The 12,738-nt window shown below is 44.3% G+C and overlaps 1 protein-coding gene across 20 annotated transcripts in view, besides 2 other annotated features; it reads right to left on the bottom strand.

Annotated features, from left to right (window-relative positions):
• Positions 1-12,738, bottom strand: part of FYN (FYN proto-oncogene, Src family tyrosine kinase) — a 213,121-nt gene that overhangs the window by 65,289 nt on the left and 135,094 nt on the right. The window lies entirely within an intron of this gene.
• Positions 4,897-5,783: an enhancer, noted in NCBI's record as "NANOG-H3K27ac-H3K4me1 hESC enhancer chr6:112051720-112052606 (GRCh37/hg19 assembly coordinates)". NCBI's record gives its function as "activates a minimal SCP1, AML or CMV promoter by ChIP-STARR-seq in primed H9 embryonic stem cells {active_cell/tissue: H9 hESC(primed)}" and the evidence as "EXISTENCE:reporter gene assay evidence [ECO:0000049][PMID:30033119]".
• Positions 5,784-6,668: an enhancer, noted in NCBI's record as "OCT4-NANOG-H3K27ac-H3K4me1 hESC enhancer chr6:112052607-112053491 (GRCh37/hg19 assembly coordinates)". NCBI's record gives its function as "activates a minimal SCP1, AML or CMV promoter by ChIP-STARR-seq in naive H9 embryonic stem cells {active_cell/tissue: H9 hESC(naive)}" and the evidence as "EXISTENCE:reporter gene assay evidence [ECO:0000049][PMID:30033119]".

Here is a 12,738-nt window from a genome sequence, read left to right on the forward strand (position 1 = left end):
AACACTTTCAGCACTGATGCTGGGTTCAGCCAATGGCCCCAGCCCAGCTATGAAAAAAAGCATGCAGGACTCTGCCAATGTGGGAAAGTCCTCTCTTTGCTGCCAACTGGAGGGAGTGAAAATATGTGCCTTGCTAAATGACATTGTGGTAGGGAGAATTCTGAGCTGTCCCCCAGGACTCCTACTCCCGGTGTATGTGCCCTGCAAATCCCTAGGATTTATGAATGATGGGGTAGTCACTCCATCATCGGGTTGTTATTTGGCACAGCCGACTTTGAGAGATCATCCTGGGTGGACCTGACCTAATCAGGTGAACCCGTGAACGGTATGCCAGTTCCTGGAAAAGTAGATTAAAAGTGAGAGAGGCCTTCATTGTGGGGGAGATTCTCCACAGCTGCCTTTAAAGATGAAGGGGCTATGTGGCCAGACACATGGGTGGTCAGAGCTGAGAACAGCTCGGTCAAGAACCTGAATGAACCTGGAAATGGATTCCTCCCTAGTCAAGCCTTCAAACAACAACATAATCAGCTAACATTTGATTTCGGCTTTGCTGAGCAGAGAATCCCCTCCGTGCCTGGATTTGTGACTGACAGAAATGTGAGCTAACAGATGGATGTTGTTTTAAGCTACTAAGTTTGTAGTACTTTGTTAGGCAGCAGCAGAAAACTAATACATGTTTTGGTGGGATGGGCACCATGGGGATGATGGCTCCAATTTCAGCAGTCATGACCAATATCCAATCAGTGTTCCCTGTAGCCTAGGTGCAGGCTGGACTCTGCAAAATGCTGTCCCATTAAAATCTAGTAACAACTCTAAAACACAGGTATTACTATTTCCCCACACTTTACAAGGGAGGAAAAGAGGGGTTGGGGAATTTGTCCACAGCTATGTCAGTCATAGAGATGGGATTTGAAACCAGATAGCCTGATTCCATGGCCAACACACAGAGTCTCTATACTAGAGCTATTTCCTGACCATGGAATCCTGGCCAGTCCATGCAAGGGTGTGGGTGTGAGGGCTGGAGGTGTTGAGGGAAAAATCCTATAGGGAAGAATTGGTTCCACAGAGCTCAATATCTCACACATTATGATATGGTTTGGTTGTGTCCCCAGCCAAATCTCACCTCAAATTGTAATCCCTATAATCTCCATGTGTCAAGGGCAGGACCAGGTGGAGGTAATCGAATTATGGGGGCAGTTCCCTCATGCTGTTCTCGTGATAGTGAGTGAGTTCTCATGAGATCTGATGGTTGGTTTTATAAGCATCTGGCATTTCCACTGCTTGCACTTACTCCGTCCTGCCGCCCTGTGAAGAAGGTGCCTGCTTCTCCTTTGCCTTCTGCCATAATTGTAAGCTTCCTGAGGCCTTCCCAGCAATGCGGAACTGCAAGTCAATTAAACCTCTTTCCTTTATAAATTACCCGGTCTCAGGTATTTCTTCACAGCAGTGTGAGAATGGACTAGTATACATTACTAACGGAGGCACTGATTTCAGGGACTAGGTCTCACCTCCATCCCCAATGCACATTCCATTCCCCCAAGACAGTGGATTCTGTAGAGATGCTGGACCATACTAGGTGCAGTGAGTCACCATCTTCCTTCGTGCGGTTTGGCATATTAATGACTATTTGGGCCGATGACACTGAAGCAGCCCTTAATTTCCTCATCTTTCCTAGTCATGGCAAGGGTATTCATAAGTACCATGAAGGAGTTGGCACTGGTTTCCTTGGTATAAAAATCAGCTTTCCTATTGCACTTAAAATATGATTTGCTTTACAGGCAAAACTTTCTGGAACATATTTACTGCATAAACTGAGATACACATATAATGCCTCCACCAAGCACAAAATAACAGCTTTCTACTCTTGGTGAAGCCTGTGAGGGAGAGCCCCTCGCCAAATGCAAGTATTAAAATATTACAGTCTCTGAGGTGAGAAGATAGATGTAAAAGTGGGAATATACACAATGCAGACACTAGCCACATGCAATCATGGGAGAACAGAGCCTACTTAAAAATCAAACCCAAGCTTTGCTTCAGAAATAAGTGGAGTTGAACCCATTCGATCATTTACGCATGACTTTGCAAAGGTTCTCTGGAGGGGGAAGAGGATCAACCTTCTCTCATACCGCACAGCAAGGGAACCAAAGTAATATAAATCACTCTTAAAAATGTCATGTTACTTTAAGAATAAGCCATACTGCTGGCACCTAGAATATTTTTGTGGGTCCCCATCTCTGGCTTTTCTTGTTCAAATGGCCCCCAGGCTAAGAGGCAGCTGCTCACATCCCTGCAACAAACATGTTCTTTCCTTTCTGCATAGCCTTCCATTTCTCGAGCCCGAAGACTCAAAAGCGCTCAATAAAAGAGAAATGGAAGCATCAGACCCCAGTGGTGAGATTTAAGACTGCAGTCAACTGAATGCTGGAACCAGTCCCAAACCTAAATGGCCAAATGAGGCTTTAACACCAAACCATGGAAAGGCTCCAAGAAAAGAGTAAGAACATTTTCTTCTTAAATTCATTTTGCTCTGGATCTCAGGGTTAAGACAAGAGTGAAATGGTGATGAAAACAAGGATGATATGTTTTAACCCCATCTATGCCAAAGGTTTCAGAAAGAATTAGAGCACAGGTTGTAAAGTTTTTTCAGGCTCCACCCCCTGCCCGCAAGCCTTTTTGGACCATAGAAAAGCCCCTTGTAGTTAATATTTTTAAAATTTCATTTAAAGTGAGATATAATTCATATACCATAAAATTCACCCTCTTGAAGCACACAGTCCAATGGTTTTTAGTACATTTACAAAGGAGACCATTTCCATTATCTAATTCCAGAACATTTTCATTGCTCCAGAAAGAAACCCATGCCCATTAAGCAATCGCTACCCACTCCCTTCTCTCCCCAGCCCCTGGCAACCACGAATCTAATTTCTGTCTCTATGGATTTGCCTATTCTTGACATTTCATATCAACAGAGTCACATCATATGTGGTCTTTTGTGATTGGCTTCCTTTGCTTGGTATAATGTTCTCCAGGTTCATTCATGTAACATGTATTAGTACTTCATTCCTTTTTATGGCTAAAAGATATTCTACTGTATGGATATACCAGATGTTGTTTATCTATTCATCAACTGATGGACATTTGGGTTTTTACGTTTTGGCTCTTATGAATAATACTGCAACAAACATTCATGCTCAAGTTTTTCTGTGGAGATATGTTTTCAACTCTCTTAGATTAATATTTCAATATATAAGAAATTTATACAGATAAGAGAAACTCTAAGTTTAGGAAACAGAAACATATATTGGCAACAAAAAAAGGAAAAACAATTTGTGAAACATATGGGAGAATATTGCCTTTGGTAGTAATCAGAGAAATACAATTTAGATTAGTGAGATACTATGTATCACTTCTAAATTCACACATTAAAAAAATAAGTATACTCAATAGTGATGAAGTTTCCTTGAAATGAATATGACTCTCTTACATTGCTGATAGAAGACCAGAAATCAGTGTAAAACCATTTGGTAAACCAATTTGGCAATATAAAAAATTCTTAAAAATGGGCATACTCGGCCAGGTGTGGTGGTTCACACCTGTAATTCCAGCACTTTGGGAGGCTGAAGTGGGTGGATCACTTGAGGCCAGGAGTTCAAGACCAGCCTAGCCAACATAGTGAAACCCCAACTCTACTAAAAATACAAAAATTAGATGGGTGTGGTGGCAGGCACCTGTAAACCTAGCTACTCGAGTGGCTGAGGCATGAGAATCGCTTGAACCAGGAAAGCAGAGGTTTGCAGTGAGCTGAGATGGCGCCACTGCACTCCAGCCTGGGTGACAGAGTGAGACTGCCTCAAAAAAAAAAAAAAAGGGGGTCGGGGGTGGCATGTCCTTTAACCTGTAAATGTGTGCTAAAGACACGCCTTTTAAAAAAATGACATGAAGAGGTTCTATGAAGTATTATTTATCATTTGAAAAATTAGAAAACTTGTTAGTTGTTTAGCATGAGGGCAATGGCTAAAGTAAATTGTAAGGTATGCCCATAAAGACAAGTTAAGCAGAAATTAAAACTTACATTTACTGAAATTATCAGCAATATGGAAAGATGTTCATGTTATATTAGGAAGGATCACATGATTGCAACTATATAACAAATGCCTAGAAAACTCTTTGGAAGGAAACATGCTGAGATTATGGTGGTGTGCAGATGATAACACTATGGGCAACTGTTCTTTCTTTGCTCTCTGTGTCTTTTTTCTCAGATTTGTCTATACCAAGAATGTACTTTTTTTATAATGAGAATAAATCACCTTTATTTTTCTATAAGAAAGTTCCCTTTAATATTATCAGTTACTGATTGAATTTGTATGTAAGTTGAAACAACTACACATTGATGAAGTATACTTTGTCAACTGAAAAATTAAGAGGGAGAGACTGACTGATTCCAAAGCCTGTTGAGAGGCAACTCCTTCTAGAAGGTGTGAAGGGTGAAAGGTACCAATGGACAGTGAGCCTGCTGAGCGTGTGCTCTTAACTAATCTGTGCTGGAAAGTAAGCAGTGAGGCGCAGTGCTGGGAGTGGGCGGTGAGTGCACAGCAATGAACAGCCATAGATATCTAATTAAGGGCACGAAAAAGGCAAAGCCACATGCAGAGGATCCTGTAGGGGACAAGTGTGGAATCTGGGATAACCGAACCAAAAGCAGGGTGGCTGGATTAGTGGGGTTTTGAGACCCTTTGGGCCACACATCCTAGGTACTTGGGGACACCCACTAAATTCAGAATGACGGTACTCACTCAAGTCTACCTTGGCACCTAACCAAGGCAATCTGATTCCTGAGGTGTCTGTAGGAGCTCTCTGTGAGTGAGGTCATGAAGACCACGCATGGGCTTGGCTCTAGGAAGGTGGAGAGGATGAAACAAAGCACTTTTGTTCTTTGGATGCCAATTGGTGGGAGAGGGAAGGGGGCCTGCCCTCGCTCTTGTTGCCTTCACCCTTTCCTGTTGGGACACTGAGCTGGGCATTTTAATGCTTTGACTTTGAGCCACTGCCCCTAGAACCTGGGGCAATCCAAGCAGGGCACAGAACAGTAGGCAACACTGGTTCATGTGACCTGAAAATTTTCAGAAACACTAGGCACAGAAGAGATGTTTCTTCCTGATGTTGATATCCAATCAAGTATCTTCCTACCCTCCTTACCCTCATTCTATAAAAACAATCAACCAGAGAAAAAGAGAAAAGAAAAACAAAAACGTGGGCTTCTATTCATGACCAGCAAAGAGAAACAGGAAGGTCAGTGTCACATCTGGGCCACAGTGGCAGAGCCTAGCTTTCTGGGCTGCGCCTGTTTAAGGAACAGTGGTGGCAGAACTGGCCGAGGGCCCAAGGGTCAGGGTGTCACCTGGCAGAGCCACAAGAAAACACATTAGCACAAAGCGGCTGTTTGAATAGGCGTCATCAATGCCCCCTCCCCAAGTACGAGGACCGCTGAGAATGAAAGCCGAGGAGGTTCACTCTCCAAGGCCGAACAAAACCCGCCCTGCCAATCTTCCCAGTCTCTATAGAGGTTCCTCGCCAGATGATTCTGCAAATGTGGCCTCATCCTTTCAAAAACAGTGCATTCTTTTTCTCTTTCTTTAATTCACTAGTTCCAGTCAAGAAGATCCAATTCCTTTAAAGACACAGAAAGGACTTTGAAGAAGGAGATTTGACTTCTTTTGCCTTTGAGCTGATAGCACGGTGCTTGTGGTCTCCATGTCTCCCATTTTCGCTGATCATTTATCTGGTTATGAAGTCACAGCCCAATCTAAATCTACCAGCCTGAGAATTTGGCTGTGAGGCCACTTGCACTGTGTTTTTGGGGCAGAGGCTGGTGTCTTTCCTTTGAAGAATAACATGAAGCCCAGTCCCCCGGCCCCTGGGTCTTTGTGTTGGCACTTTATTCAGGCTGCCAGAAATCAGCAACAACAGCAGGGATAACTTTTGCATCCCCTGCCGTGGTGTAGAATTTCAAAGCTTCTTGCAGCTGTTTTGGTGTGAATGCAGATAAAGTAGCCAGTCAGAAAGCATAGTCTATCTAATTCCACGGCCTCTATGGGGACAGAATGGCTCAGGAGGACGGGAACAAAAGGAGCAGAGAGGCAGACTCCAGCCAGCCTCCTCCTACACTTTATTGCCTGAAGGAAAGGAGGATGGTCTCTGCCTTCCCTGATGTTGGTTTCCTCACCCTGGGTGAGCCCAGGGTGGTTGAATATGTCGTGCGTGTCTCAGTAAAGTTTTCACTAGAGGTCTGCATTTATGAATGCAAATTGAGTGCCAAGAGAGACACAGAGGAAATTAAAGGAGGAACATCAGTAAGAGGAAGAGAATGTGGAACCACCAGAAGGTAGTGATGCTTTCCCCAGCAGCACACAAAAAACAGTATTTGGGATGACAAGCTGTGGCCACTCTGTGTGGGAGGAACATGTGCTACATGGGCTAGACCACTTGTGGATGACCTACTTAACACCTGATGGAAACCCAGTCAGATTTTTCTTAACAAATCCAAAAAAGGTAACACTGGGTTTACATACCAGCATACATTCTGCGAACACTACTGCTTGTAAAAGTTATGGTGAAGCAATTTAATAGTGACTTTTCACTTGGCCTATGAATGAGGTAGAGAATACAATGTTTTTTTATACTGTTGTCCTACAGAGTGATTAAACCTTAAGTTCACTCCTTAAAAATGGCACAGCAGTTAATCTTCCCTTTTTCCTAGGTGCTTGCAGGATTCTGGTATCAGGCAGGGTTGCCCTGGGTCTAAAGGGACACGGCCTTGGCAATCTTGCAGCCCAAATCCACGTCACTGAAAGTAAGCGAGCGGTGGAGGGTGAAGGCGGGTGAAGGCAGGTGAAGGGTGTGCAGGCTGCCTGCTATCCCCTCGCTGTCCCACCAAATCCACCCCACCCTCCTCCATCATAATAGCTTTAGTGAGCCTCTGGCTTTGCAGCTGAAGACTGCATTCTCAGACTCTCTTGCAGCTAGGTGTGGCCAGATCACTTAATTCTAGTCAACTCCTTGTGACTGGGTATAATATATTCAACTCCTGAATCCTTCAAAAGGGAGCTGGTCGTCCTCCACTTTCCTTCCTGCTTCCTGTGGGCTGGGAAGTGGGTGTGGTGCTGGTGAACTGGCTTCAACAGACAGACAATGGCAACCCAACAGGGAACAGCAGGACCACAGGATGGAAGGAACCTGGGCCCCGGACAGCTTCACGGAGCACAGCTGCTCGTCTACCCGAAAGCACCCACCACTGACCCCAACACGAGAGGCATGAATATTGATCTTGTGTGGGCCACTGCTTCTTTGGGAGGAGATGGGGGAGGGCATGCAGTGGGATCTTTGTTATAACAGGGAGTCTGCAGCAACACACGGAGGAAGTGAATCTAATACAGAGGTCAAAGGGTGGCTGTGTGGGCCACGTGTCTCCCCACTCCCGAGAACCAATAAGAACTTCTGATTACCTTTGACACAAACAGTTAAACTTGAATTAAGGCAAGTTAGTAGGATAACAACAACAGTAACAATAACAATGCCTACCACTTTTTGAGAACTTATTTTCTGCTTGACCTTTTACATATGCTATCTCATTTAATCCTCAGAGCAACCTTACAAGTATATTTTACAGTCAAGGAACCTTGGGCCCACAGAATTGGAGTAACTTTCCCAGAGTTACTCAGGCCGTGGGACCTGGACATGAATCTAGATCTAATACGCTTGCATCTTCTACCTACTACACCATGCTGTTTTTTGAGAAGCGTGCTCTGCTCCTAGCCATTTTCTAAGTCCAGCTTAGCATTTGTTCCCAAGTCTCCGGGACATCTTAGTCTGGAATTAAGTCTTCTGTTTTAGAGAAGGTCTGTAAGCAGTGCATTAGCCCAGAACCAGGATGCTGAGTAGCCCTGTGGCACAGAGCGTATCACTCTGAAGTTCTGGAGCCCAGTTTCCTCATCAGTGCATTAGCCCAGAACCAGGTTGCTGAGTAGCCCTGTGGTACAGAGCGTGTCACTCTGAAGTTCTGGAGCCCAGTTTCCTCATCAGTGCATTAGCCTGGAACCAGGCTGCTGAGTAGCCCCGTGGCACAAAGCGTGTCACTCTGAAGTTCTGAAGTCCAGTTCCCTCATCAGTGGAGCAAAGTGGGCTTCCAAGCCAGGCACGGTGGCTCATGCCTGTAATCCCAGCACTTTGGGAGGCTGAGGTGGGCGGAATACTTGAAGCCAGGAATTGGAGACCAGCCTGGGCAACATGGAGAAACCCCATCTCTACAAATATACAAACATTAGCCAGGCATGGTGGTATGTGCCTGTAGTCTCAGTTACTTGGGGGGCTGGGGCGGGAGGATCACTTGAGCCCGGGATATTGAAGTTGCAATGAGCCATGTTCGTGCTACTACACTCCAGCCTGGGTGACAGAGTGAGACCCTGTCTCAAACAAACAAAAAACAAACAAACAAACAAACAAAAAAATGTGAGCTTCAACAAGGAGCCCTCCAGGGTTCACACCAATGCTGAAGGAGCCCAAAGACCTTTTGCACACATTGAGCAGAACCACTGAGTCCACAGACAGACAGGCAGCTCTTGGCCCTCAGCTGAACCTCAGGAATTATGAGGACTCATGGAATGACCTGACCAAGTGCTCAGGTTTGGCTCTAAATGCTCAGATGACCCCTGCTGTGCCAGAGCCTTGAGAAGGTACATTATGAGAGTTTTAATGATGTGAGAAGAGCTAGGCATTGCTGTGTCCTACAGTTTTTATTTAATTTTTTGCCCTATGGTTTAAAGTACTCTTTCTTACTACAGTTTTCAGAAGACCTATGTCCTCCACTTTCCTTTGTTGCTAAAATGAAGAACAACTTATGATCTGGCTCAACCAACTCTGGCATTCATGACATGCTGTGGTCTTGACCCTCCTCCCTCATCACAGGGAGGCTCCACTTCTCTCTGGCTCTACCCTACAGGGTTGCTAGGTACAGCTGTTCTCCTTCTGAGCTGCTGGAGATGAAGTTAGAAGAAAACAATAACAAGAATGAAGAAACGACCCCCCCTACCCCAAACAAAAGTTACTCCGAAATCACCATAGTAACAAATCACCAGTTTTCAACTGTTTCATTTCCTTTGCATTTTTGTTTCTCTGCACATACCCTTTTATTTATATTCAGCCCCAGCTCTAGCCTTTATTCAACAAGCATATTTTGATCCCCTTTATGTGACAGGCACTGTGCTAAGGGCTGCCGGTATAAAGTCAAGTACACATGGCCTCTGTCCTCAGGGAGCTAATATATACTTAAGAGGGAGACAGACAAGTAAATCGAGGGACTCAGGTTGGAGAGGGGACACAGAGGGAGTTCTAATTCATCCAGGTCAGCAATTGAGAAAGTGACTGGATATTAGCCCAGGCAGGGAGGAGATGGGCACTGCAGGCAAGGGAATAGCATATCTGAGGGCACAGAGGTGTGGAACACCATGATACCCTCAAAGAACCGTAAGTGTTCTTACGGCTTATTTGATTTATGGCCATATTTATGGAGCATTCAAATATGTGCCAAGCATATTTCGAGGCTTTGGGTGCTAAGGCTGAAGAAGACAGGCTCCCTGCTCAAAAGGAGCTTATAGTTTAATGGGATTGAAATGTGTAGCTGGGTAAGTGGCTGAGCTTGAGAAGCAGTCAGAAGCCAAATCTTAAACAACTATGAGTCCATTCTACTGAGCCCTCACTATGGTGCCTAAAGCTTTCCTAGGTGCAATATGCAAATGACCTTTGATCCATCAACATCCTGTGCTGGGTATTATCATCATCATCAATGAAGGGAGGTAAAGTTATTTGCCTAAGGCCTCAGTGCTAGGTTTAACTGCATTTTAACCCAGATCTGGCTAAATCTGAGACCTATAAGCAAAAGCATTTGCACATTATACAACTGATACTTATCCAGTATTAAGCAGGAGTGAAACTGGGTCTTGATAGACACATACTGAAGCTGGGGAGAAAAGAGAAGCATGGGGGGGTGCCAGATCAAGAAGGCAAGGGTAGAAAGAGACTGCATGCAAGTGGCTGGACAGGGAGGTATCTAAGTAAGCTATGACTTCCTAAGTGGACCAATGACTCTATCCATTCTAGCTACCTGTCTATTCATAATTCATACCTCACAAATCATCCCCAACTGTGGCAAAGCCGTAGCTTTTGTTACATGTGAGAATAAAGATCTGAAACCATAAATGGCTGCAGAGGTGATCTACTTTGGAACTATATAAGTGACATTATCTGAGAGCCCTGGCACACAAAACACTTCATATCTTTTGGGGCTGGTAGGAGTGAGAAATAGGCTTGCACAGTTGTGTAAGTGGCTGCCTAAACATGATGAGGACAGGTAACACCACAGATAGACATCTGCAATGCAGGTCATCAGAAGAAAGACAGGAATGCCCACTGAAAAGGGCATGTAACAAGTAGAATCCAACAACAGACCGGTGTCACAAGAGGATCCTGAAGGAGTGGCTAGGGTTAGAGGTGCAGATGAATGTGAGGTCACAGGGGATCACCACTGTTCTCCTCCAGCTGTGGAGGGGTTTGCTCTGTCAAGTCAAATACGAATGTCTTTATCATGATGCAGAAGTGGCAGTTACACTTCAGTTTTGCATAAAAAATATAATATTAACACATTCTTTGGGCTAGAAGGCAGCTTATTTTTTCAGCAATGACAGCTCTACTCACATATACAGGCTTAGAACAGTCAGAGGATGTAAACTCTTGCTCATCCACCAGCAAGAGTCATCAATCGGCAGCTCTGGCAGAAGCACTTTGTCCCAGCACTAAGCAGAACTGGCCTGTCCCTGAGAGCTCCGATGGAGCTGCCTTAGAAGATTCCAGGTAATGATGGCCCAAGGGTGGCTTCATGCCCTGCCCCAGTTCTGGCTCAATACAACCCAAACTGACCCAGCAAGTAATGATGGTACACACATGAAATAAGCCCAGGAAACAGCTCTGCCATAATTCTTTGTGACAAAAGCTGACTCGACATGCTGATTTCCAGCCCAAGTGAAACAAAATGGTCCTGTGTACAACCAGCCTACACATTCTGAGTATTCACCGTTCCACCAGGTTTATTCCTTAATCTGGACGCACTAAATGCACTCCCCTCTAAGTCCCTTCATCATTTTCTAGCCATCTTGCTTCTCTCTTAAGACTTGTATTTTCTATATAGGTTCACTGCTAAAATAAAAATACTGCTAACAATTAGTGGATCTGCATAACTCTTATAGAAGAGACTGATTATTTATACCATTTCTACTTTTCCAAACCCACTAAACTGTTCCCTAACTTTGTTTTTCTTAACTATCTCAACTGTTTGAAATCTGTTTCTGTTCTAACATGGTTGCTGGTTAATCATCCATTCTTGTCACTATTTGTTTTGTGCCTCAAACACTCGACTCTTTAAAATAATGGTGTGGACAGAGGAATAAACAAACTTAGTTTCTCCTCTACTCTTACAACATGCTTCTGACACCAGATGTGTGGGTTTTGTTTCCCCACATATCAAGCAAGCAAGCAAGCAATTTTGCAGTGGACACAGCTGGCTGTTCTCCAGTTCAATTCAATTTGGTGCCAATATCTACCTAGAGATAGTGTCAGATCCTACAGGTTGAGGGCTTAGTTTCACAAAACTGCTCCCCACTTAAGACATGAGTCACAGGCCCCAGGTTGTGGTATGTGCTTCTAACCCACCGGCTATAAATCGGGATCTCCACAACCCCCTCCTTGGGTTTGACTCATTTGCTACAGCAGCTCACAGAACCCAGGGAAACAGTTATGTTTACTACTTCATTATAAAGGATGTTTTAAAGGATACAGATGAAGAGATACACAGGGTGAGGTATGAAGGAAAGGGCGTGGAGCGTCCACGGCTTCTGTGCCCTGCCACCCTCCAGGAACCTGCACATGTTCAGCTATCTAGAAGCTCTCCAAACTCTGTCCTCTTGACTTTTTATGGAGGCCTCATTACATAAGCATGATTGATTAAATCACTGGCCACTGGTGATCAACTTAACCTTCAGTCCCCTTTTCTCTCCCCAAAGACTGGGAGATAAGGCTCAAAGTCCCAACCCTCTAATCCTCTCTTTCCCATGACCAGTCCCCATCCTCTAGACGTTTACTACTTTGGAGATTCCAAGGATTTTAGGAGCTGTTTGCCAGAAAACAGTGACCAAATATACACTTCACAATATCACTAATGGCCTCAAATTTTCCTTAATTTTGACTATTTTCCCATAAAAAAACAAATAAACAAATAATTTTTTCTTTGGTACCAGAGCATTTTTACTTTCCTGCTAGGCCAGGTGACAAAACTCTCACTCATTTTCAACCTAAACAACACAACACCCATCATGAACTGTCATCCTCCATTTCTATATTGCAATTCCAACATAAAGTGATGCTACTGGCAGAATTTTCAGTCTGTTAGGAGCAAGTACTGGTGAAAATGTGGAACAAGAGCTCCACACACACCGCTAGCAGGACGTCAACAATTTTACATTACTAGTGAAGATGAAGATGTACCTATCCCATGAGCAGAACTCCACTCCTAGGCATAAACCCCAAAGAACCATGCCTACCTGAAACAGGAAATACATGCACCCTGAGGGTTTAAGGTGAGGCTCAGGAATCTGAGGTATCTGCACTTTTTATAGGTCCACTGGTGATGTTACC

Source organism: Homo sapiens, chromosome 6 (genome assembly GCF_000001405.40).
Source record: "Homo sapiens chromosome 6, GRCh38.p14 Primary Assembly".
Taxonomy (NCBI): Eukaryota; Metazoa; Chordata; class Mammalia; order Primates; family Hominidae; genus Homo; species Homo sapiens.